The sequence below is a fragment of the Homo sapiens genome, chromosome 8 (genome assembly GCF_000001405.40).
Source record: "Homo sapiens chromosome 8, GRCh38.p14 Primary Assembly".
NCBI classification, from domain to species: domain Eukaryota; kingdom Metazoa; phylum Chordata; class Mammalia; order Primates; family Hominidae; genus Homo; species Homo sapiens.
Window position 1 is genome coordinate 62,838,576 of NC_000008.11, and position 27,546 is coordinate 62,866,121.

The 27,546-nt window shown below is 39.3% G+C and overlaps 1 protein-coding gene and 3 pseudogenes across 4 annotated transcripts in view; 2 read left to right on the forward strand and 2 right to left on the reverse strand.

Annotated features, from left to right (window-relative positions):
• The window catches only part of NKAIN3 (sodium/potassium transporting ATPase interacting 3), a 750,799-nt gene that overhangs the window by 589,722 nt on the left and 133,531 nt on the right, over positions 1 to 27,546 (forward strand). The window lies entirely within an intron of this gene.
• Positions 16,510 to 18,559, reverse strand: XRCC6P4 (X-ray repair cross complementing 6 pseudogene 4; annotated as a pseudogene).
• Positions 21,625 to 27,105, forward strand: LOC112268019 (SRSF protein kinase 2-like; annotated as a pseudogene).
• Positions 24,522 to 25,613, reverse strand: SRPK2P1 (SRPK2 pseudogene 1; annotated as a pseudogene).

Consider the following 27,546-nt stretch of genomic DNA (forward strand, 5'->3'; position numbering starts at 1 on the left):
GAGAAAATTCATCTTGCAGATCAAGCAGATAGGGATATTGGTTGATGAGGGACTTATTGACTCCATATACGGAAGCCTTTTGTATTTGTGAGACACAATTATTAGGCATCAGCACTAAAAACACCATTTGCATATGTATCTTAACTTCCACAAAATAATCGAAAATTATATCCAAAAGAATAAACTCCTTAGCATTTCAGAAGCTGATTTCCAATTATCCCAGTAAAATGTAAATGTGCCAGACAATATTTTTGTTTCTGGGGGATCACCAGAAAAACTTGGACTCTTCTAATGGAAAATAAAAGAGTGATTTTTTATTAACTTTTAGCTTTGGATAACTCGGGTAGAAATTGTAATACACACCAGCGTCATCTCCCATCTTGCTCCTGAGTACAAGGATTGTAGGCATTTAACTCCATTCCACAGCTCTCCAGGGTGTAGACATTTCAGACATAATTTTACCTCCCTTCGTACACACACCCAATCCTATCTCACACAGCTATCTCTCTAATAGGCAGAAATCAGACAGTGATGCAGTTTCTCTGTTATGTTGTTTTTGACTCTACTACTTTCCTCCTTCTAAAGACATAACAACAAGAATTCCTTGTCTATTATCAACTTTTTCTTCTTTATTTACGCACGCTTAATTTTCTTTTTTCAACCAACTTAAAATCTGCTAAGCCTGACAGACTATTCTATTTAAAGATTTTAGAGGATTTGCCTACATTAAAAAAAAAAAAACAAAAACGACTTTCACACCAAGACAGAATAAAATAGAAATCACCTTTGTCTCTATCAAACAAATTTGGATTTCCTAAAAAGTCTCTTAAAAATTGGTAGAAAAAAAACAAAACATACCCGTATTTGAAGCGGCATTATTTTAGCTTTTTGAAATGCTTAGTAAAAGGAAGTAAATCTGTTGTAGAGACCTCATGATTTGGTATGTATCAAATAAATGAAATCAGAAGTTGGTTTCAAACTAGAAGATCAAATAACTTTTTTTCTTTTAATTTATTTGTTTATTTTTAGAAATGGTCTCCCTCTGTCACCCAGGCTGGAGTGCAGTAGTGTGATCACAGTTCACTGTAACTGTGGGCTCCTGGGCTCAATAATCCTCCTGGAGCCCAACTCCTGGGCTCAAGCAATCCTCCTGCCTCAGCCTCCTGAGTAGCTGGTACTACAGGTGTGTGCCACCATTCCTGGAAAATTTTTTACAAAAATTTTGTTAGGGTCTCACTATGTTGCCCTGGCTGGTCTCGAACTCAGGCCTCAAGCAATATTCCCTCCTTGGCCTCCCAAAGTGCTGAAATTGCAGGCATGAACCACCACACCCAGCCTGCCTAAGACATTTATAAAATGCCTTCCCCACATTCAAGAATCATACATTAGTTCTAGAATTTTCTCTCTAGATTGTAAACAAGATTGAGGATAGAAGTAAATTTTCTTTTCATGCTTATGTATTCATATCCACATACATCCCCTCCAAAGCACTGCTCTTAGTAGGCATTCAATAAATATTTTTGAATGAATAAATGGCTTTTGTAAATACGAGCTCAGCCTTACTGTTATCACTAGGAGAAACAAATATATTTCTGGCATACATCTTCCTTAACCTACATTATCCTCCTACTGCTAATTCCACATGAAAAATAGACATCTCAAAAGGATATTGACTTATTTAGTGACCTGGTCATGTACTTAGTGTTTACAATGCATATACCATTGTTCAACATAGTCTGCTCAGTTCCACTATAGACATATCCATCAAGCTTTCTAAAAAAAAAAAAATTAACAGTAAAACATATTACCTTTCCTTTTGAGCTTGATTTATTTAAACCTGGAGGGTCACAAAAAAAAAAAAAACAATCAGAGAGAAATTGAGTTTCCCTTTCTTCTTGTTCCTGTCCTTTTACACTGCTCTCTACATTTTTGTGCTAAAACTTCTTTTTATGAAGAGACTTCCAGAAGTCCAGATTGCTTGAGAGGCTCAGATTGATAATATCTATGCTGTATTAATGCTGATTGACCTTCCGGGATAAAAGGGACTTCACAAATAAATATTATAATTGCAAGCAAAGCAAATATTACCAGATTGATTTCTCCAACCATTTTAATAGTATTACATACCTCTTCAGTTCCCAGTTTCTATATTTAAATGTTGGCAACTCAGCCCACATAAAGGAAAAATATAACTATGGCAAAGGAAGGGGAAAATGTCTCTATTGAATATATGGCCTACTGAGAACATCTGAGAAAGAGTCATCAAACCATGCCTCTGTTGTTCATGCACAGGTATGAACAGCAGTGCATCATCATGGCACCTCTGGAACAGCTAGGAGTATGCTTGCTTTTTGCACACTTTTGCATTTTCCCCAGGGACTTTCAAATTGAAGAACTCAGCTAGAGGGTTCACACATCTACTGCAGCCAGGTCTTTGTGGTAGGTAGCATAATGGACCTCCAAAGATGGGCTTGTCCTAATCCCCAGACCTGTTAATATGTTATCTTACATAGAACAAGGTACTTTGCAGCTGTGATTATAATTAAGGACCCTAGAATGCGGAAATTTTCCTAGATTATTCCCAGGAGTTCAATATAATATTTTTAAATTGATAAATTATAATAATCATAATTGTATTACATTTATGGAGTACAATGTGATGTTTTCATATATGTATATAATACGGAGTTATTAAATCAAATTAATTAACATATATATCCCTTCCCTTGCTTGACATTTTTTGTGATGACATCTTTGAAATTTACTCTCTTATTTTGAAATACACAGTACATTATTATTGGCTATGGTCACCCTGCTGTGCAACAGATCTCTAAACCTCCTGTCTAGCTAAAACTGTGTATCCTTTAAACAGTAACTCCACATTCTCTCACTCCTCCCCACCCAAGCCCCCCATCCCTGGCTCTGGTAACCACCATTCCATTCTCCACTTACATGGATGAATCTTTTTTAGATTTCACATATAAATGAGATCAAGTAGTATTTATCTTTCTGTGCATGGCTTATTTCACTTAGCATAACATCTGCTAGATTCATCCATCTTGTCCCAAATGACAGAATTTCATCTTTTTAAAGAATAAGTAATATTTCATTTTGTTTACTCTATTTTCTTTATCCAACTGTTGATGGACAAGTTGATTCCATATCTTGACTACTGCGGATAATGCTGCAATGAACCTGGGAGTGCAGATATCTCTTTGGCATACTTAATAATTTCCCTTGTAATACCCAGTAGTGGGATTGCTAGATCATATGGGAGTTCTATTTTTAGTTTTTGGAGGAAATTCCATACTGGTTTCCATAATGGCTGAACCATTTACATTACCACCAATAGTGTACAAGCATTCCCTTTTCTCTACATCCTCTCCAGTGGTTGTTATCTTTCATCTTTTTGGTAAAAGCCATTCTATTGGGTATAAATAGATATCTTGTTGTGGTTTTTAAATTGTGTTTTCCTAATGATTAGTTCATTTGTTAATGAACCTTTTGGCCGTTTGGATGAGTTCTTTTGAGAAGTGTTTGTTCAGGTCCTTTGCCCACTTTTAAATCGGTTTATTTGTTTGCTTACTATTGAGTTATTTCAGTTCCTTGTATATTTTGTACATTAAACCCTTACTAGATATATGAGCTATCTGAAAAGAAAGTTAAGAAAATAATCCCATTTACAATAGCAACAGAAAAAAATTTAAAACTTAGATGTAAATTTAAATCAGAAGGTAAAAGACTTATATACTGAAGACTATAAAACACTGATGAATGAAATTGAAGAAAACACAAATAAATTGAAAAATATCCCATCTCTATGGACTGAAATAATTAATATTATTAAAATTCCCATACTACAAAAAATAATCTACAGATTCAATGCAATCCCTATAAAAATTTCAAGGTCATTTTTCAAAAATGGAAAAATCAATCCTAAAATTCTGTGGAACCACAATACACCCCAGATAACCAAAGTAATCTTGAGCAAAAAGAACAAAGCTACAGGCATCATACTACCTGATTTCAAAATGTTTTATAAAAGTGATTATAATTAAAACAGCATAATACTGGCATAAAAACAGACACATCGACCTATGGAACAGGACAGAAAGCTCAGTAATAAACTCATGCCTTCATGGTCAATTGATTTTTTACAAAACTGCCAAGAACCCATAATGGAGGAAAAACATTCTATTCAATAAATTGTTCAAGGAAAACCAGTTATCCACATTCAGAAAAAAATGAAATTAGACCCTTACCTTACACTATGCTCCAAAATAAACTCAAAATGATTAAAGACTTAAAGCTGTAAAACTACTAGAAGAAAACATAGGAAAAGCTCCATGACATTGGTTTGGACAAGGATTTTTTTAGATGTAACCCCAAAATCTCAAGTAACAAAAGCACAAATAGACAAATGGGATTGCATCAAATTAAGAAGCTTCTGCACAGCAAAAGAAACGATGAACAAAGTGAAGAGACAACCCATGCAATGAGAAAAATATTTGCAAACCATGGGTCTTTACAAGTGGAAGAGAGAGGCAGTAGAATGAGTGGGTCATACAGAGGAGATAGAATTCAGCCAGTTGTTGGTTGTTGCTGGCTTTGTAGTTTAAAGGGGACCCAGATGCAAGGAACACAGATTAAGCTGGAAAAGGCAAGGAAATGGATTGTCCCCTAGAGACTCCAGAAAAACAGTTCCCTGCTAACGTCTTTTTTCTTTTTTTAATTAATTAATTAATTAATTAATTAATTTTTTATTTATTTATTTTTTTTGAGACAGAGTCTCATTCGGTCACCTAGGCTAGAATGCTGTGGTGCTATGTCAACTCACTGCAACCTCCACCTCACTCATTCAAGTGATTCTCCTGCCTCAGCTTCCCAAGTAGCTGGGACTACAGGCACATGCCACCACACCTAGCTGATTTTTATATTTTTAGTAAAGACGGTTTCACCATGTTGGCCAGGCTGGTCTCAAACCCCTGACCTCAAGTGATCAGCCCACCTCGGCCTCCCAAAGTGCTAGAATTACAGGCATTAGTCACCATGGCCGGCCCCTGCTGACATCTTGATTTTAGCCCAGGGAGATTCATGTTAGACTTTTGACTTCTAGAAATGTAAGGTAATAAATTTGTGCTTTTTAAATGACTAAGTTTGTGATGATTTGCCACAGCAACAATAGGGAACTAATAGAGTGCTTTTTCACGCATTTTTTTCTCATCTATGATAAGAGAGCTTTCTGTGTCTCCTTCTGAAAGGAAAGTCTGCTGTAAGAGGGAGTGCTGTTCACTGCAACCTCACTCCTCTCCTTTGCTGGTGTATGTACCAATGTATAACCTTTCTGCACAAATGAAATGCCATGCAAGAAGTAAAAAGTTTGAGAACTAGCCCATTTGTCAGTAGGAGTCCAAAACTTTATACTAAGAATCCTAAATCCGATAACTAAGAAGTGACTTGAGGCACTCGCAACTTCATTATTAAAGGTTATTTGCATGACAAATTAATACTGTAGTAACAGTAGTTGCCAATGCAAAAGCTAAACCAAGAACTTAAATGCCACAAACATGCAGATTATTGGCCCGGTTGATGGAACAGGGCAACTTTGGCCTTAAATATTTTTTGGCAACTTAACATATTTGCATTTTTGCCTCAAGCTATTTAAATATTTTAGGATTCCATTATTTACAGAGAGCATAATGGGGGAACTCTCCAGAGTTACTGAAGGTTAAACCGGATAAAAAGTGAAAGTATCCACAGAATAAAATAACTCCCTAGATATCTTGTGTACACATGTCCAACCAAAAAGGACAATTTATTTCCACATATGGTAGGGATTTCAGATTCCTTCAGAAAATTTCAGATTAACTCCTTATATTTAGGAGTCTTAATTAAGCTGTAGGTTATCACTTACAACAAAATGTGAAGTCAGAGTAAATGAAAAATGTTACTTTTTACCCAAGAATAGAGTGGGTCCTCACTCCATTGCTTCACAAGATAAAATTGTAATTGTCTTTTACTTCAACGTTAACAGATATTGATAGTTGAGCCTTAATGGGAACACTTTGTTTTGTTGTTCTATATTAGTTGCTTTGATACAAAATGCTGTACATTAGAATTTAATGTGATCTGCCTGAAGTCCAGATGAAAAAAGATTAAGGCAAAAGACAAGAATGAGAAAGAATTCCTGGTCAAAGGAGATTGTTTCATTTTGGTGGCTGTCCCCATTTGGGCTCCCATAAATGCACTGCCAGGACTATCGGGGGCAGAAATATTGAGCCTGGGCAGTCGACTAACCACAGCATCACCAACACGAATCATACTCCCATTACCCAACAAGGAAATACTGTCTACGAAGGGGCCCCTAGTGCTCTGCACCCTCCCGTTCACTTACCTTCCTGCTTCACATTTGAAAGGCAGTTTAGATGAAATAATGCCCGTTTTTCCTACCAAGTATATTGTATGCAACCGTAAATCATCAAAGAACCACTGCCCCGACCTAGAACATATTTGGACATCACTAGAAATAAAAAAAAGGAATATTAGATCATGTGTTGGATTTTTTTAGGGTTAATATAAAGGCAGATGTCCAAAGTTAGGGATGCTTTCAATGCTTTCCTATTTCCAGTTCTCTTGCTCCTACGTTGGCTCTGTGTTTTATAAATCTTCTTTTTCATAATGTAGATTCATTGACCTGCTGGATAGTAGATTATATATATATATATATATATATATATAGTACCTAATAGAGTTGGCTCCTTGCCTTGTATTTATCAAAGATTCTTCCCCCAACTCTCATCAGTCCTTCCCCAAACAAGAAGTTTAACAAAAGAGACTAGGGACTTCTTTAGCTCACTTGTCGCCACCATCCCACAGGACCTGAATATGAGTCCTGTCCAGGAGCAGTGGTGAACTGGAACAGAGCAAATATAGTACCCACAGTGAATGACGAAAGAGGATTGGATCAGGATTGAAAACTCTAAATAACTGATGTAGCTTACACATTTATTACTTTGGCTTATCACAGTTATCCCAGAAGATGTGAAATAAAATCAGAGAAAAGAGAATTTTAAACAGACATTCACATAATAGGCCATACAGACATGCAGACTGCTGACCAGGCACAAAATTCTGGCAGGCAGGACTGGGAGCTAGAGGAAACTGGCATTACTTAAGCAAGGACTGAACAGTGTATTCGGAAAAGAAAAAAATGAGTGGCCTAGGGAAAAGACAGGCTTTGTTCTGACCAATCCTTTTTGTTCACCACACACCCAAACTGCTAGCAGATTCAAAGTAATTTTACTAAATACAACATTCACCCTGCTTTCTGTATTCTATTGATTTACTTAATAAAAACAAACCTGCTTTGTGATTCTAGCTACACAGAACTAACCAGAGACCCCAGTCTTTTTAGAAGATATAGAGTGAATTCAGAATGTCAAGTTTCTAAAACTTAATTGCTATCCATAAGATAGAAAAATCTCAATTAGAACTTGAATTCTTAAAAATTCATCTATGATCACACAGCTATCAGAGAGGAATAAAGATAAAAAAAACACTAACATAACATGTAGAGGGCAGGAAAGAAAGCCCATGTGTTTTCAGTCCAGTAAATGATGAATGTGCAAGAAAGAGGCATGAACTAAAAGAGCTTTGACAGAAGAATTTTCTTTTTTCAAAGTTAAAAGAAAGTTTAGTTCCCTTTTAAATAACAGAATCTTCTTTTTCCAGTTGATTTTTTTTATTTCCAACTTTTATTTTAAGTTCAGGGGTACATGTGCAGGATGTGCAGGTTTGTTACATAGGTAAACATGTGCCATGATGGTTTACTGTACAGATTATTCCATCACCTAGGTATTAGGCACAGCATCTATTAGCTATTCTTCCTGATGTTCTCCTTCCTCTCATCCCCCACCCTCCAACAGGTCCCATGTATGTTATTCTGCCCCTCGTGACCATGTGTTCTCATCATTCAGCTCCCACTTATAAGTCAGAACATGTGGTATTTGGTTTTCAGTTCCTGCATTAGTTTGCTAAGGATAATGACCTCCAGCTCCATCCATGTTCATGCAAAGAACATGATCTCATTCCTTTTTAAGGCTGCATATTATTCTGTGGTATACATTTACCACATCTTCCTTATTTAGTCTATCCTTGGTAGGCATTGTATTAATCTGTTCTCATGCTGCGAATAAAGACCCAAGGCTGGGTAATTGATAAAGGAAAGAGGTTTAATTGACTCACAGTTCCACATGGCTGGGGAGGCCTCACAATCATGGTCGAAGGTGAATGAGGAGCAAAGTCATGTCTTACACGGTGGCAGGCAAGAGAGCTTGTGCAGGGTAACTCCCATATATAAAACCATAAAATCTTGTGAGACTTATTCACTACCATGAAAACAGTATGGCAGAAACTGCCCCCGTGATTCAATTATCTCCATCTGTCCCTGCCCTTGACATGTGGGGATTATTACAATTCAAGGTGAGATTTGGGTGGCAACACAACCAAACCATCTCAGGCATTTAGGTTGATTCCATGTCTTTGCCGTTGTGAATGGTGCTGCAATGAACACACACACGCATGTATCTTTATAACAGAATAATTTATATTCCTTTAGGTATATATCCAGTAATGGGATTGCTGGGCCAAATGGTATTTCTGCTGCTAGGTCTTTGTAAAATCACCACACTGTCTTCCACAATGGTTGAACTAATTTACACTCCCACTAACCGTGTAAAAGTGTTCCTTTTTCTTCACAACCTCACCAGCATTTGTTTTTTGACTTTTTAGTAATAGCCTTTATGACTGACATTAGATGGTATTTCATTGCGGTTTTGATTTGCATTTCTCTAATCATCAGTGATAGTGAGCTCTTTTTCATATGATTGTTGGCCACATGTATGTCTTCCTTTGAGAAGTCTCTGTTCATGTTCTTTGCCCACTTTTTAATGGAGTTGTTTGGTTTTCTCTTGTAAATTTAAGTTCTTTATAGATGCTGGATATCAGCCCTTTGTCAGATGGTTAGAGTGCAAAAAACTGTCTCCCACTCTGTAGGTTGTATTTGCTCTGTTGATAGTATGTTTTGCTGTGCAGAAGCTGTTTAGTTTAATTAGACCCCATCGGTCAATTTTTGCTTTTTTTGCAATTGCTTCTAGCATCTTGGTCATGAAACTTTGCCCGTGCTTATGTCCTGAATGGCATTGCTTAGGTTTTCTTCTAGGTTTTTATAGTTTTGGGGATTACATTTAAGTCTTTAATGCATCTTGAGTTGACTTTTGTATACAATGTAAGGAAAGGATCCAGTTTTAATTTTCTGCATATGGCTAACCAGTTCTCCCAGCATCATTTATCATATAGGGAATCTTTTCCCCATTGCTTGTTTTTGTCAGGTTTGTCAAAGATCAGATAGTTGTAGGTGTGTGGCCTTATTTCTGGGTTCTCTATTGTATTCCATTGGTCTATGTGTCTGCTCTTGTACTAGTACAATGCCATTTTGGTTACTGTAGCCTTTAGTATAGTTTGAAGTTGGGTAACATTATGCCTCCAGCTTTGTTCTTTCTGCTTAGGATTGCCTTGGTTATTTTGGCTCTTTTCTGGTTTTATGAATTTTAAAATAGTTTTTCTGATTCTGTGAAGTATGTCAATGGTAGTTTAATGGGAGTAGCACTGAATCTATAAATTGCTTTGGGCAGTATGGCCGTTTTCACGATATTGATTCTATCCACGAGCATGGAATGTTTTTCCATTTATTTGTGTCATCTCTGATTTCTTTTCAATGGTTTGTAGTTCTTCTTAAAAATATCCTTCATTTCTCTTGTTAGCTGTTTTCCTAGGTATTTTATCCTTTTTGTGGCAATTGTGAATGGGAGTTCATTTGTGATTTGGCTCTCAGCTTGACTGTTGTTGGTGTATAGGAATGCTAGCAATTTTTGCTCATTGATTTTGTATCCTATGACTTTGCTGAAGTTGCTTATCAGCTTAAGAAGCTTCTTGGCCGAGACGATGGGATATTCTAGACATAGGATCATGTCATCTGCAAACAGATAGTTTGACTTCCTCTCTTCCTATTTGAATCCTCTTTATTTCTTTCTCTTGCCTGATTGCCTGGGCCAGAACTTCCAATACTATGTTGAATAGTAGTGGTGAGAGAGGGCAAACTTGACTTGAGCCAGTTTTCAAGGGGAATGCTTCCAGGTTTTGCCCATTCACTATGGACTGTGGGTTTGTCATGTGTGGCTCTTATTATTTTGAGGTATGTACCTTCAATATCTAGTTTATTGAGAGTTTTCAATATGAAGGGATGTTAAATTTTATCAAAGGCCTTTTCTGCATCTATTGAGATAATCATGTGGTTTTTGTCCTTAGATCTGTTTATGTGATGAATTACATTTATTGTTTTGTGTATGTTGAACCAGCTTGCATCTCAGAGATGAAGCCAACTTGATTGTGGTGGATAAGCTTTTTGATGTGCTACTGGATTCAGTTTGCCAGTGTTTTGTTGAGGATTTTTGCATCGATGTTCATCCAGGATATGGCCTAAAGTTTTCCTTTTTTGTCATATCTCTGCCAGGTTTTGGTATCAGGATAATGGTGGCCTCATAGAATAAGTTAGGGAGGAGTCCCTCCTTTTCAATTTTTTGGAATAGTTTCAGTCGGAGTGGTACCAGCTATTTTCTGTACCTCTGCTAGAATTCAGATGTGAATTCATCTGGTCCTGGGCTTTTTTTTTTTTTTTTTTTGGTTGGTAGGTTATTTATTACTGTCTCAATTTCAGAACTCTCTATTGGTCTATTCAGGGATTCAATTTCTTCCTGATTCAGTCTTGGGAGGGCATATGTGCCAGGAATGTATCCATTTCCTCTTTTTTTATGGAAATTTTTTTTATTATTATACTTCAAGTTTTAGGGTACATGTGCACAATGTGCAAGTTTGTTACATATGTATACATGTGCCATGTTGGTGTGCTGCACCCATTAACTCATCATTTAACATTAGGTATATCTCCTAATGCTATCCCTCTCCCCTCCCCCCCACCCACCCCACAACAGGTCCAAGTGTGTGATATTCCCCTTCCTGTGTCCATGTGTTCTCATTGTTCACTTCCCACCTATGAGTGAGAACATGCGGTGTTTGGTTTTTTGTCCTTCCGATAGTTTGCTGAGAGTGATGGTTTCCAGCTTCATGCATGTCCCTACAAAGAACATGAACTCGTCATTTTTTATGGCTGCATAGTATTCCATGGTGTATATGTGCCACATTTTCTTAATCCAGTCTATCATTGGTGGACATTTGGCTTGGTTCCAAGTCTTTGCTATTGTGAATAGTGCTGCAGTAAACATATGTGTGCATGTGTCTTTATAGCAGCATGATTTATAATCCTTTGGGTATATACCCAGTAATGCGATAGCTGGGTGAAATGGTTTTTCTAGTTCTAGATCCCTGAGGAATCACCACACTGACTTCCAAAATGGTTGAACTAGTTTACAGTCTCACCAACAGAGTAAAAGTGATCCTATTTCTCCAGATCCTCTCCAGCACCTGTTGTTTCCTGACTTTTTAATGATCGCCATTCTAACTGGTGTGAGATGCTATCTCATTGTGGTTTTGATTTGCATTTCTCTGATGGCCAGTGATGATGAGCATTTTTTCATGTGTCTTTTGGCTGCATAAATGTCTTATTTTGAGAAGTGTCTGTTCAGGTCCTTCACCCACTTTTTGATGGGGTTGTTTGTTTTTTTCTTGTAAATTTGTTGGAGTTCATTGTAGATTCTGCATATTAGCCCTTTGTCAGATGAGTAGATTGCAAAAATTTTCTCCCATTCTGTAGGCTGCCTGTTCACTCTGATGGTAGTTTCTTTTGCTGTGCAGAAGCTCTTTAGTTTAATTAGATCCCATTTGTCAATTTTGGCTTTTGTTGCCATTGCTTTTGGTGTTTTAGACATGAAGTCCTTGCCCATGCCTATGTCCTGAATGGTATTGACTAGGTTTTCTTCTAGGGTTTTTATGGTTTTAGGTCTAACATTTAAGTCTATAATCCATCTTGAATTAATTTTTGTATAAGGTGTAAGGAAGGGATCCAGTTTCAGCTTTCCACATATGGCTAGCCAGTTTTCCCAGCACCATTTATTAAATAGGGAATCCTTTCCCCATTGCTTGTTTTTCTCAGGTTTGTCAAAGATCAAATGGTTGTAGATATGCAGCGTTATTTCTGAGGTGTCTGTTCTGTTCCATTGGTCTATATCTCTGTTTTGGTACCAGTATCATGCTGTTTTGGTTACTGTAGCCTTGTAGTATAGTTTGAAGTCAGGTAGCGTGATGCCTCCAGCTTTGTTCTTTTGGCTTAGCATTGTCTTGGCTATGTGGGGTCTTTTTTGGTTCCATATGAACTTTAAAGTAGTTTTTTCCAATTCTGTGAAGAAAGTCATTGGTAGCTTGATGGGGATGGCATTGAATCTCTAAATTACCTTGGGCAGTATGGCCATTTTCACAATATTGATTCTTCCTACCCATGAGCATGGAATGTTCTTCCATTTGCTTGTATCCTCTTTTATTTCCTTGAGCAGTGGTTTGTAGTTCTCCTTGAAGAGGTCCTTCACATCCCTTGTAAGTTGGATTGCTAGGTATTTTATTCTCTTTGAAGCAATTGTGAATGGGAGTTCCCTCATGATTTGGCTCTCTGTTTGTCTGTTATTGGTGTATAAGAATGCTTCTGATTTTTGCACATTGATTTTGTATCCTGAGACTTTGCTGAAGTTGCCTATCAGCTTAAGGAGATTTTGGGCTGAGGCGATGGGGTTTTCTAGATATACAATCATGTCCTCTGCAAACAGGGACAATTTGACTTCCTCTTTTCCTAATTGAATACCCTTTATTTCCTTCTCCTGCCTGATTGCCCTGGCCAGAACTTCCAACACTATTTTTAATAGGAGTGGTGAGAGAGGACATCCCCGTCTTGTGCCGGTTTTCAAAGGGAATGCTTCCAGGTTTTGCCCATTCAATATGATATTGGCTGTGGGTTTGTCATAGATAGCTCTTATTATTTTGAGGTACATCCCATCAATACCTAATTTATTGAGAGTTTTTAGCATGAAGCATTGTTGAATTTTGTCAAAGGCCTTTTCTGCATCTATTGAGATAATTATATGGTTTTTTCATTGGTTCTGTTTATATGCTGGATTACATTTATTGTTTTGCATATGTTGAACCAGCCTTGCATCCCAAGGATGAAGCCCACTTGATCATGGTGGATAAGCTTTTTGATGTGCTGCTGGATTCGGTTTGCCAGTATTTTATTGAGGATTTTTGCAGCAATGTTCATCAGGGATATTGGTCTAAAATTCTCTTTTTTTGTTGTGTTTCTGCCAGGCTTTGGTATCAGGATGATGCTGGCCTCATAAAATGAGTTAGGGAGGATTCCCTCTTTTTCTATTGATAGGAATAGTTTAGAAGGAAAGGTACCAGCTCCTCCTTCTACCTCTGGTAGAATTCAGCTGTGAATCCATCTGGTCCTGGACTTTTTTTGGTTGGTAAGCTATTAATTGTTGCCTCAATTTCAGAGCCTGTTATTGGTCTATTCGGAGATTCATCTTTTTCCTGATTTAGTCTTGGGAGGGTGTATGTGTTGAGGAATTTATCCATTTCTTCTAGATTTTCTAGTTTATTTGTGTAGAGGTGTTTATAGTATCTCTGATGGTAGTTTATATTTCTGTGGGATCGGTGGTGATATCCCCTTTATCGTTTTTTATTGCATCTATTTGATTCTTCTCTCTTTTCTTCTTTATTAGTCTTGCTAGCGGGCTATCAATTTTGTTGATCTTTTCAAAAACCAGCTCCTGGATTCATTGATTTTTTGAAGGGTTTTTTCTGTCTCTATTTCCTTCAGTTCTGCTCTGATCTTAGTTATTTCTTGTCTTCTGCTAGCTTTTGAATGTGTTTGCTCTTGCTTCTCTAGTTCTTTTAATTGTGATATTAGGGTATCAATTTTAGATCTTTCCTGCTTTCTCTTGTGGGCATTCAGTGCTATAAATTTCCCTCTACACACTGCTTTGAATGTGTCCCAAAGATTCTGGTATGTTGTGTCTTTGTTCTCGTTGGTTTCAAAGAACATCTTTATTTCTGCCTTCATTTCGTTATGTACCCAGTAGTCATTCAGGAGCAGGTTGTTCTGTTTCCATGTAGTTGAGCAGTTCTGAGTGAGTTTCTTAATCCTGAGTTCTAGTTTGATTGCTCTGTGGTCTGAGAGACAGTTTGTTATCATTTCTGTTCTTTTACATTTGCTGACGAGTGCTTAACTTCCAAGTATGTGGTCAGTTTTGGAATAAGTGTGGTGTGGTGCTGAGAAGAATGTATATTCTGTTGATTTGAGGTGGAGAGTTCTGTAGATGCCTATTAGGTCCACTTGGTGCAGAGCTGAGTTCAATTCCTGAATATCCTTGTTAACATTCTGTCTTGTTGACCTGTCTAATGTTGACAGTGGGGTAACAAAGTCTCCCATTATTATTGTATGGGAGTTTAAGTCTCTTTCTAGGTCTCTAAGGACTTGCTTTATGAATCTGGGTGCTCCTGTATTTGGTGCATATATATGTAGAATAGTTAGCTCTGCTTGTTGAATTGATCCCTTTAGCATTATGTAATGGCCTTCTTTGTCTCTTTTGATCTTTGTTGGTTTAAAGTCTGTTTTATCAGAGAGTAAGATTGCAACCCCTGCCTTCTTTTGTTTTCCATTTGCTTGGTAGATCTTCCTCCATCCCTTTATTTTGAGCCTATGTGTGTCTCTGCACGTGAGATGGGTTTCTTGAATACAGCACACTGATGGATCTTGACTCTTTATCCAATTTGCCAGTCTGTGTCTTTTAATTGGAGCACTTAGCCCATTTAGAATGTATCCATTTCTTCTAGATTTTCTAACTTATGTGTACAAAGGTGTTTACAGTATTCTCTGATGGTTGTTTGTATGTCTGTGGGGTCAGTGGTAATGTTCCCCTTATCATTTCTAATTGTGTTTATTTGAATCTTCTCTATGTTTAGTTTATTAGTCTAGCTATCAGTCTATCTATTTTATTAATTTTCTCCAGGAAAAGCAGCTCCTGGATTTGTTGATTTTTGAAGGGTTTTTCATGTCTCTGTCTCCTTCAATTCAGCTCTGATGTTGGTTATTTTTGCTAGCTTTCAGGTTTGTGTGCTCTTGGTTCTCTGGTTCTTTTAACTGTGATGTTAAGTTGTTAACTCGAGATCTTTCTAGCTTTTTGATGTGGGTATTTAGTGCTGTAGATTTCTCTCTTGACACTGCTTTATCTACATCCCACACATGCTGGTACATTGTATCTTTGCTCTCATTAGTTTCAAAGAACTTCTTGATTTCTGCAATGATTTCATTATTTACCCAAAAGTCATCCAGAAGCAGGTTGTTCAGTTTCAGTGTAGTCATATGGTTTTCTGTGAATTTCTTAATTTTGAGTTCTAATTTGATTGTGCTGTGGTCCAAGAGATGATTTGTTAGGATTTCAGCTCTTTTGCATTTGCTGAGGAGTGTTTTACTTCTGATTATGTGATCAATTTTAGAGTAAGTTCCATGTGGTAATGAGAAGAATATGTATTCTGTTGTTTTGGGGTGGAGAGTTCTGTAGTTATCTATCAGGTCAACTTGATCCAGAGCTGAGTTCAGGCCCTGAATATCTTTGTTAATGTTCTGCCTCAATGATCTGCCTAATATTGTCAGTGAGGTGTTAAAATCTCTCACTATTATTGTGTGGGAGTCTAAGTCTCTGTTAAAGTCTGTAAGAACTTGCTTTATGCATCTGGGTGCCCCTGTATTGGGTGCATATATATTTAAGATAGTTGGCACTTATTGAATTGAAACCTTTGCCATTATGTAATGCCCTTTTCTGTCCTTTTGATCTTTGTTAGTTTAAACTCTATCTTATCAGAAACTTGGATTGCAACTCCTGCTTTCTTCTGTTCTCCATTTGCTCAGTAAATTTTCCTCTATCCCTTCATTTTGAGCCTCTGTGTGTCTTTGCATGTTAGATAGCTCTCTTGAAGACAGCGTACAGATGGATCTTGATTCTTTATCTGGTTTGCCATTCTGTGTCTTTTAATTGGGGCATGTAGCTCATTTACATTTAAGGTTAGTATTGTTAGGTGTGGATTTGATCCTGTCATCATGATGCTAGCTGATTATTTTTGCAGACTAGTTTATGTGGTTACTTCATAGTGTCACTAGTCTGTGCACTTCCATATGTTTTTGTAATGGCTGGTAACGATTTTTCCTTTCCATATTTAGTGCTTCCTTCATACGCTCCTGTAAGGCAGAGGTTTAACATCCCACTGACATTATTAGGCAGTTCATTGAGACAGCATTTGCCTGCCTAAGCATTTGCCTGTCTGAAAAGGATCTTATTTCTCCTTCACTTATAATGCTTAGTTTGTCTGGATATGAAATTCTGGGCTGGAAATTCTTTTCTTTTTTTTATTTTTATTTTTTGTTTTTTTGTTTGTTTGTTTGTGTTCAGTACAAACTTAGGGCTCTTTAGGCAATAAAGTAAGGAACAGCAAAGTGGGAGGACTACACCTTCACCGTGGCAACAGAAAGCCTCAAAAATGTAAAGTCCCTCAACTTCTATTGGGCAGACTCTTCCTAGCTCAGAAGAAACACATTTTAACTGGCTGGGAACAAGGCCTGCCAGCCTGGCCACAGTGTGGAAGGGCAGCTGGTCACACAGCCTCTGGTCAGGCCTGGAAGTGCTCAGAGAGAACTTCCAGCAGCTCCTGCTTCTTCAGCCCATATGCCTCTTTCAGCATGGGCACAGTGAAATTGCCCAGCATGCCCTTGCTGATATTGGCCTTCAGCTCCTCTTCTGAATACTTCATCTTGGGTCTTTTGCTTCCAAAATCTTCATTATTTTGTTTTCTCTTGGTAAATTTCCCTTCAGGATTGTAATCTGGTGGGTAAACAAGCTCCTTAAACTCAACCACCAGGGAGTCCAATCTTTTATTCATTGCTTCAACCTTGGGCAATGTCAGGTCCACTGCTTGTTCAGTCTCCATCAAATCCAAGGCCAAGGCCTCCAGGTTCCTGAAGTGCTGCTGCAGCCCAGGGTTCTCAAAGCTGTCACTTCTGCATGTGAAGCGGAGCTTCTGAACGATAGCCTTCATCTTGTCCACCTGCTCTGGAGTTGCCATGACTTTCAGTAAAGGGCATCTTCCTTTTATCATCAGCAAAGAGTAAAAAGACAAGCTGGAATCCTGGAGGAGTCACCAGAAATTTCTGGTCATCCAACTCCTCTTCCTGTGGCACCAAAGCCACAAAATAAAGAGAGATGTTCCTGCGGGGTGTGTATCTGCGTGATGCTACAACCTCCTTGTCCAGACACTTTATGTGCAGAGCACTAAACAGGGTTGAGCTCCCAATCACCAGCAACTCCTCAGGGCACATGAACAGGGAGGGCCTCAGATGATGGTGCTTCTTCAGCATTACCAAGGGCTTACACCCCATGAGCATCAAACCTGGATCATCAAACTGTTTTAACTCTTCTGTTTCCCCTTTCTCCATTATAATCTGAGACTCCCATAGATCTCAGACCTCTTGGTATCACTAGGCAGAAGCAAACTTCCTGTATTTGTATTAAATGTCTGGGTCTTGGTTTTCACTGGTTCATTTGTTTCCCAATAGAGCTTTATTGGAGAAGGCTTGAGAGCCCTCTGGACCAGATTATAAATGCCCAGAGATCACTATATCTTTGATGAGCTTCAGCTTTAACCTGCTTAGTGCTTGCTTCCTGGTCTCCTTGGAGTGAACCTTCTAGTTTGCTGGATTCCTCAAAGTGAACCCTGAGGTCCTCATCCTCTGCTATGCTGGTGATATCTCTATAGAATAAGGATATGTCAAAGCCCCCAGGTTTCTTCAGGTGCTTCAAGTCAAGGAAGATACCTGTATCTCAGAGATCACCAGCTTTGGTCCTGGCTCAGCTGGCTTAGGCACTGTCATTGCCATGGGGTTGTCTTCATTGGTGAACAGCATGATCTTGTTATGACTCATCATGAACTGGACATCACTAAAGAGGTTGGCACAGATACACAGCACTTCACTGAGTGAGTCATCAGATCTGTGGCCCATCAGGTCTTGGAAACGTTTTTGTTCCTGCTGCCCCTTAAACTGGTCAAGCTCTAGAATTTATTTTGCACCTGGCTTATCCAACTCCTGTAAGATGTAAATATTTCACTGAATCTTTGTCTTTCTCTGCACTATAGAGCATCACTGCCAAGAGATCTCAAACACTGTTTATGATCTTACTGATGTACACACTTTGGATACACTGGATGCTCATGTCAAAGGGAGTCAACTCATCTTTACTCTGAGATTCAAACATAGCCCTGGAGGCATCAACAAAAAAAAAACAAACTATCTCTTCCTGAATACTTATAGTCTCCACTTGCTTCAAGGTTCTCTTCTTGTTCTTCTTTGCTTCTTCATCGGCCTCAGTTTTGTAATACGACTCCCACCTTTACATGTTGGCTACTTCTCACTTTGGTGTAGGGAAGTGACCAACTTGGACCAGAAATTCTTTCCTTTAAGAATGTTGAATATAGGGCCCCAATCTCTTCTGGCTGTAGAGTTTCTTCTGAGAGGATCACTGTTATTCTCATGGGCTTCCCTTTGTAGGTGACCTTGCCTTTCTCTTAACATTATTTGCTGCCCTTAACATTATTTGTTTCATTTCGACCTTAGAGATCTGATGATTATGTATCTTGGGGATAATCTTTTCATGGAGTATCTTACTGGAGTTCTCTGCATTTCCTGAATTTGAATGTTGGCCTGTGTTGCCAGGTTGAGGAAGTTCTCCTGGATGATATCCTGAAGTATGTTTTCCAAATTGGTTCCATTCTCCCTGTCTCTTTCACGTACCCCAATCAGTCATAGATTTGATCTCTTTACATAATCACATAGTTCTTGGAGGTTTTGTTCATTCCTTTACATTCTTTTTTATCTATTCTTTTCTGCCAGTCTTATTTCAGAAAAACAGTCTTCAAGCTCTGAAATTCTTTCTTCCACTTGATCTATTCTGCTATTAATACTTGTGATTGCATTGTGAAGTTCTTATACTGTGTTTTTCAGTTCTATCATGTTCCTCTCTAAACTTGCTATTTTGGCTGTCAGCTTCTGCATTGTTTTATTATGATTTTTAGATTCTTTGTGTTGGGTTAAAACATATTCCTTTAGCTCAGCGAAGTTCATTTTTATCCACATTCTGAAGCCTACTTCTGTCATTTCAGCATCTCAGCCTTAGCCCTGTTTTAAGCCCTTGCTGCAGAAGCACTGTAGTCATTTAGAAGAAAGGGGGCACTCTGGTTTTTTGAGTTTTTGACATTTTTGAGTTGATTCTTTCTCATCTTTGTGGGCTTATCTACCTTTGATCTTTGAGGTTGCCAACCTTTGGATGGGGTTCTCACAGGGATTTTTTCTTGTTGTTGTTGTTTTCTGTGTTTTTTTTGTTGTTGTTGTTTTTCTTTGAACAGTCTGATGGCTGTTGCATAGGGCTGCTGTGGTTTGCTGGGAGTCTGCTCCAGACCCTAGTTACCTCCGTTTTTCCTGTACCTGGAGGTATCACCACCGAAGTCTGCGAAATAGCAAAGATGGCAGCCTGCCCCTTCCTCTGGAAGCTCCATCCCGGGGGGTACGGACCTGTTGCCAGGCCAAATGCAGTTGTAAGAGGTACCTGAAGACTTTGTTTGGGAGGTCTCACCCAGTCAGAAGAAAAGTGATCTAGTACCTGCTTAAAGAAGCAGTCTGGCTGCTTTTTGATAGAGCAGCATGCGTGTTGGGGATCTCTTCAGCCTCTGATCAGATTGAGCACCCCAAAGCCCACAAGCTGGACTGGCTAAGATGCTTGAACAGCCAAGGTAGTGACATGCCCCACCCCCAGGGCACTTCATCCCAGGGAAAGATCAGAACTGTTCATACCGTATGTGCAGGTTGAGGTAGCTGGAGGCCCAGCTGGGAGGTCTCACCCAATGAGGGGGAATGGTTTGAGGTCCAGCTTACAGAAGCAATCTGGCCACATTCTGGCAAAGCAGCTATGCTGCACTGGGGAAACTCTTCCTCATCCAGACCATTTGGACTCTTCAAAGTCCACAGGCTGGAACAGCTGAGTCAACCAAACAGCAGAGATGGCAGCCTGCCCCTCCCCTCAGGGCCCCATTTCTTCTCAGGCAGGCACCCTTTTACTGCAGGCTGGCTGGAATTCCAAGCCAGTGGGTCTTGTCTTGTGAGGTGCCATGGAAGTGGGACCCACAGGCCAATGCTGCTTGGCTCCTTGGGTTCAGCCCCCTTCCTAGGGGTATGTACAGACACCGTGCATTGCCTGGGCTGCAGACACCTTTGTTGGGGATCCCAGGACTGGAGTATGTAAAGCTCCTGGGTCTCAGTGCATGCCTGAGCAGCTTCTCTGCCAAGACTCCACATAGCTCTGTGTGTCGGACCCAAGGCCCTGGTGGTGTGGGCTCATAAGGGGATCTCCTGATCCGCAGGTTGCAAAGATCTGTGGGAGAAGCGTGGTTTCCCAGGGTCGCACAATCACTCACTGCTTCCTTTAACTGGATATGGGGGTTCCCTTGGCCCTGTGTCACACCCAGGTGGGCCATCGCCCTACCCTGCTTTTCTTTCTTCTCCATGAGTTGGGTTATTTCCCTGACCAATCCCACTGTGGATAGCTGGATAATTCAGTTGAAGTTGCTGTATCCACTCACCCCAGTTCATAACCAAGCCTTATCACTTGTTAATCTCCTGAGTAACACAGAGGTATCTACTTTATTCTACTTTGACCACCACAACCTTAGGCCAAGCTTGTCTGGCTCATCTTGTCTGGGCTCCTGCACCAGCCATCCTATCTATTCTTAGTAACCCAGATAACTTTTTCTATACTCTTACTTCAACTAAAAAAAAAAAAACTTCATGGAAGTAGCCTAGTTACATTTAACCAAATTAAATAAATAACATTTTAACCAAAACCACATAAATATATACATATATGCGTGTGTGTGTGTGCATGCGTGTGTGTGTGCTTACATTGCTTCAAAGATAATGAGCTCTTATGTTGCTATATTTCCCTATATTCTTTATAGTAAATCCTACAAGATTTACTTACTTTTTGCTACCAACCCCCAGTACTAAATAAGCTATTCGTGGGTCTCACTCTGCTAGATTCTCATGTACAGGAGAGTGTCTGTGTCCTAGGTAGTGGTCATAGATATTGCTTCCAATGTTGCTGATTTCAGTACCATAAAGAAGATATAGCCCAGTAAATGGAAGAGCAAAGTAGAATGAAATTTTTAATAGCTTTGCTCTCTTAGTGCTTTGTCTGTAAGAATCACTGTTGCACTTGACATTTGTTGCCATTTTGCTTTTTCATTTTGAATTGTGGAGCCAGACTGTGTCTCTATGTTGAGGGGAGGAGAAGGAATGACCTCAGAAATGTCAGAATTATTACTAATGGCAGCCTTTAAGCTTGGATAGGTGGGTAATAGTGCTTGACCAATCTGCTTAAATGCTGACTGTAGAGTAGCGACCTGAAACAATAGTGGGAAGCTATTTAAAATTTGGAAGAGGCAAAATATGTGATAGGAAAGATGTGGCTTATTTTCAAGTACAGGCCACATGGTATGGTAGCAGCAGATGCCGTAAGGAATAAGGGCAGCATCTGAGCAGACCTAAATGTAATCTCACCTCTGTCATTTTCCTACTTGTGACACTGGGCAGGGTCCACAATCCCTCTGAGCCATCACCTTTCTTGCATGTAAAATGAAATCATACCACTCACTCAAGGGGCTGTTGAAAAGATTAATGACATTGTGTATACAAAATTCCAGCCACCATAGATGCCAGTTTGCTTTTTTCTCCCTCGCTTCTGTTTTAACATTGCAGATAATTTACACTAACAGGTGATCAAGGACTAGGCCTAAGCCTTCTTCTAAGAGACTAGCCCAGCTCACAGACCTTGAAGAGACAGTGTAATTCACTGCAGAGGGCTTTCTCCCACTTCTTCCTGCTAAACAAGTTCCTGGAGAGGTTTGAACAGGCATTAGAGATAGTCGGTGGTACTTGTCCATATGCAATGCTGTCAGATGAATTTTTCTATCTGATGCAGATTGGTCCGAGGCCAGCTTCTTGACCTTAGGTTGCAAGTGGTGACTAGGAGCAGTTGTTCCTGACAACTTGTGTTCTTGCACATGGCTCATAACCAAGGATAAGACAGCCTCCAGACCATATATCCTAGAAATAAATCTAGATATTTCTACTCAGACTAATTTTTCTCTAAGGGGACAGTGAAGCTCTTCTGGGACTGATCCACCTATCTGGCCTCATTCCAGGACAGGCAGAAGGCCTTATGCTGAATGCTTACTCAAGGCCTAAGACAGCCAAGACAAATAGACTTAACATGCTTGACAACTAATCTACTGGTAGTGGCTGCCTAGCTAGATATTTGTAGAATTCCCAGTCCTCTTCTGGGCTTAGCATAAATTGTGTGCCTCGATCAGTGATGATGTCTCCCATAGTTACTGCGGAGGGTTCTCAAGGCACACATGACAGAATTGGAAACCTCATTATCTGGGGATCCTCAAAGTTCCACTTTAGTTCAATAAGGATACTGGCCATTATTCAAGAACTGGTCTTAGTCACACACACAAACCATAGTGTCATGACTGAGTAACTCCTCGAGCTGGGTGAAAACACCATGAACACAATAAACAAAGACAATCTCAATTTTTTATCAATGCCTCAAAAGCTTCCAGACCCACAAATAATTTCAAATGTCACCAGGGATATATGTTCTGCATACTACCTAGTCCCTCACAACCTTGTGATTCTGGGAACTCAGGGACTTTCCTGGCGTCACTTGAAATCACTGAAAGCCAAGGCTAGCCCTGGTGCTTTTATCATCACTTCCAGCAGCCTCCCTTAGGTAGGAAAACACTGGAGTACAAAAGAAAACAAAATATACTGTTCCTAACACAGAAATCCCAGGACTTTGAAATATTTAGACTTTTTCAGCCCAAAGCCCACCTGTCTTCTAGCCTGCTGCCTGAGCTATTGATCTTCTGCCAGGTACATGTATTCATGATCAGTCAAAGATGTCATCCCATGGAGAATTTAATGAAAGAAATCTACGGAAGGGCTCCATCTACCCATCTCTACCCATCTATTGTCTTTCCTCCTTGTCAAGAGGAGAAGCAAGGATGCACATCTGTGCAAAGAGCACCAGGTGTTAAATAAAATCATTACCTAAAACCAATACCTTCCCATGGACTCCAGGATTTCAGTATTAGCACAGGTGAACTATAGTTTACACCAAACGAGGATTCCTGAAAACACATAACTAGCCAGAATCATGAAAAGTTATAAAATATCTTTTTATTATGACCACATTGAGTACATATTAGAGCTGCTCAGACTTTTCCATTTGGCTATTACATAATCTGAATGTTGGGTGATATTTTTATTCTTGCTCTCCTCACTCATTAAAAACTATGCAGTGCCATTATAAAAACAATATTAATAAAACTAGACAGCTTCCCCTCTGTATTTTAAAGCAGTAAAAACATTATTTGGCTTCTCATTTACATGGCAGATCCGATTCATCATGTTGACATAGTTAAACAGAAGAAGAAATATTTCACATAGATAGCAGTGTCAAAGCAGTCAGTTCTAGAAAGAAAGTAGTAATTTAAAAAAAAAAGAAAATATGGAATCAATGAATGGAATCATAACAAAGACATTTTCAATATCACATAGAAAATCATGATTATTTGTAGGTAAAACAAAGTGAAAACTAAAGTGCACTTATATTTAAAATTAAAAAGATTAAAGAAACTGGTTTCTTGAAAAGAGCATCATATATTTAAAAACTAAAATAAAGAGTGCAATTAAAAATAATTCAAAACATTTTCAGGGACAAAAAAAGGAAATATTTAACATTTATTATAATACCTGAGTTTTCCTTCCTTCATGAAAAGAGTACTGAAAATCATTTTAAAAAAATTTAGTTCTAAATAAAATAGATTCAATAGTTTTTAAAGATCACTGAAAATTGCTTTGGAATTGAAGAAAATAACATTGAATGATTTATAGCTTTTAGGAGAGATGGGATACAAGTCAATGACCTGAAGAAATGGAAAGAATGAAGACTCAGGAAATAAAACAGAATGAAAAAGATAAGAATATTCCACAGAGAAGTTAGATAATATAAGTGTAGCTTTGGGGGCTCAGATTAGGAAAAACGGCATTAGCTTTTGTTTTTTGCAAAAACTCTAAAAGGAGCTTAAAAATGGTTTATTTTTCCACAGTGCAGGAGTGATAAGACACAGTTTTCAGTGTTTTAAGTGTCTGTGTGTATGCATATATGTGTGTGCATGTGTATGCATACATATGTTGGTATGTAACCACACGTGTACATGCAAGGATGTGACTATGGAGACTCTAGGTGCTTTGATCCTCTGTATCATATATCTCTCAAGTTAAGAAAAGGGTATTCCCCATCCTGCTCATTGGAAGGTGCAGCTGAGGTGATGTTTTCTTCTATTATTTTCCTTTCGGCTTCTTGCTCCAATTCTTCTATCTCCTGCAGGCGTTTTTCCAATAACTCAGCCTGCCTCTTCTGTTTATTTTTCAGTTTTTTCTTTTTGTTTTTAGATATTTTTCCTATAGGTTTCTGCTGTGGAGCCGTACTCACTGCAGACCCTGAAGGAGGAGGAATACCTGCTTTCTGCCCCTCAGTGGTCTCAGCTGCCGTTCTTCTCACATATGCATCATCCATACACATCAAGATGTTTTGCGGCTTTATGTCAGTATGAGTAATCTTGGTCTTACTGTGTAGATATTCTAACCCTTGAAGGAAATGTCAAATGATACTCTTCAGACAACGTACTGGGTGGGAGGCCTTGATAGTTGAACTTGATGATCCAGTTGAGGAGATGGTGGCCAAGTACTCCCAAGACCATGCAGACATGTATCCCATTCATGCCTGAAATCTTGAAGTCAACGAGCTGGATCACCATGTCTTTGTTTGGGTCACTGGGATAACTTTCTCGAACACATTTGAGCAATTTTATTTCATCCAAGGCTGTGTCTGTATCACGCTGAGCACTTTTTACAACTTTCATTGCAACAAATCTTTTCCCCTACATATCCCAGCACAGCCAGACAGTAGAGAAGTGCCCCCATCCAAGCTTTCTAATAACATGATACCGGCCATTGAAGAGGTCTGCAATTTTCACTGGATGATAGCCACCTTTGCAGTAGTCCGCAGGGTCCTCTTGCTCATCATCTGATCCAGGATCTCCTCCTTTGGCTCTGGTGGTGTGGGGTCTGCCAAAGGTGGCGGTGGTGGTGGTGGAGGTGGAGGAGAAAGAACTAAAGGAGCTTTCTGTTGAGGCTCCAGCTTTGTAGGGTGTTTCTCTCTTTTCGGCCTCCGCTTTTGGGCCTGAATGGGCAACACTTTCCTGGAGCTCATTCCGACGCGGCGCAAGCGGGGCTACAGGGGCTTCGCGGAGGTGATGGCGACGCGAGCGCGGAAACCAGCCGGGCTGCGGCTTTCACTTGCTCAACCGACCGGGAGGAGGCTCTGGCGGATGGCGAATACTGCGCAGAAGTGAAACTAAAAACAGCAGGATTAGAGGAGGCGGCCGAGGCAGACGGCAAAGGACAATGCTGAAGCTGAGGACCAGGAAGAGAAAGAAGACCCTGAGAAAGAAAACATTGAGAAAGAAGATGATGTAGATCAGGAACTTGCGAACATAGACCCTACGTGGATAGAATCACCTAAAACCAATGGCCATCTTGAAAATGGCCCATTCTTACTGGAGCAGCAACTGGACGATGAAGAGGATAATGAAGAAGACCGCCCAAATACTGAGGAATATAATCTTGATGAGCCAAATGCAGAAAGTGATTACACATATAACAGCTCCTATGAACAATTCAATAGTGAATTGCCAAATGTATGGCATAAAATTCCCGAGTCACAGTTTCCAGAGTTTTCCACCTCGTTGTTTTCTGGATCCTTAGAACCTGTGGCCTGCAGCTCTGTGCTTTCTGAGGGATCACCACTTACTGACAGAAGCAGGACGGTTTCAGCCTCCAGTACTGGGGATTTGCCAAAAGCAAAAACCCGGGAGGCTGACTTGTTGATGAATCCCCTGGATACACGGAATGCAGATAAAATTAGAGTAGAAATTGCTGACCTGGGAAATGCTTGTTGGGCGCATAAACACTTCACGGAAGACATCCAGATGAGTCAATACCGTTCCATAGAGGTTTTAATAGGAGAGGGATACAGCACCCCTGCGGACATCTGGAGCGCGGCGTGTATGGCATTTGAGCTGGCAATGGGCGATTATTTGTTTGAACCACATTCTGGGGAAGACTATTCCAGAGACGAAGATCACATAGCATTGATCATTGAACTGCTGGGGAGAGTCCGGTTTACTGACCGTTTTCTTCTGGAAAAAAATACGCTATGTTGGGGAAATATTTCGAGGAGTTTTTCACCAGAAAAGGAGAACTGCGACATCACCAAGCTGAAACCCTGGTGCCCTTTTGATGTACTTGTGGAGAAGTATGGCTGGCCCCATGAAGATGCTGCATAGTTTACAGATTTCCTGATCCCGATGTTAGAAATGGTTCCAGAAAAAACGATCCTCAGCTGGCGAATGCCTTCAGCATCCTTGGTTGAATTCTTACCAAATTCTACCAATACTGCATTCTGAGCTAGCAAGTGTTCCCAGAGCGTTGGACATAAACGGTGACTCTCATTCTTTAACAGGATTACAAGTGAGCTGGCTTCATCCTCAGACATTTATTTTGCTTTGAAGTACTGTTGTTTGACATTTTGCTTTTTGTGCACTCTGATCCTGGGGAAGAGCAGTCTTTTGACTTCCCTTAGTGGTTTACTGACCGTTTTCTTCTGGAAACAATAACGTGTCTCTAAGCATTGTTTCTTGTGTTGTGTGACATGCAAATGTCATTTTTTTAATGAGAAATACTTTCCCCTTTGTGTTTTGGCAGGGTTTGTGACTATCTATTTATGAAAAATAAATTTTAGCTGAGTACTATATTATTGATAACCTTAAGAAATTATCAAGTTGGAACCAAGAAATAGCAAGGAAATATGCAATGTTATCTTCTGGCAAAGGGACATCATTCCTGTATTATAGTGTATGTAAACACACACTGTAAATGTTACTTTCCATTAAACATGGGAGGGGGGCTCAAATTTCAGAAAAGCTACCAAGTCTTGAGTTCTATGTAGCATATGTTGCATGTAGCCGACTTTAACTGCTTCTAGGAGTTGTGCAAGCTTTTCATTCCATAACAGTCCTTTCACATTGGATTTTTAAAAAAGTGGCTCCGGGTTGTAAGATATCATTCTCTATGTGGCACTTTAAAGGAAGAAAAAATAGGCTTCTCATTCTAAAATATGCATAATAATTTAGCAGTCCCATTTGTATTTTTGCATATTTTTAAAAGTATTTTTAAAGAAAAAGAGGGATTTC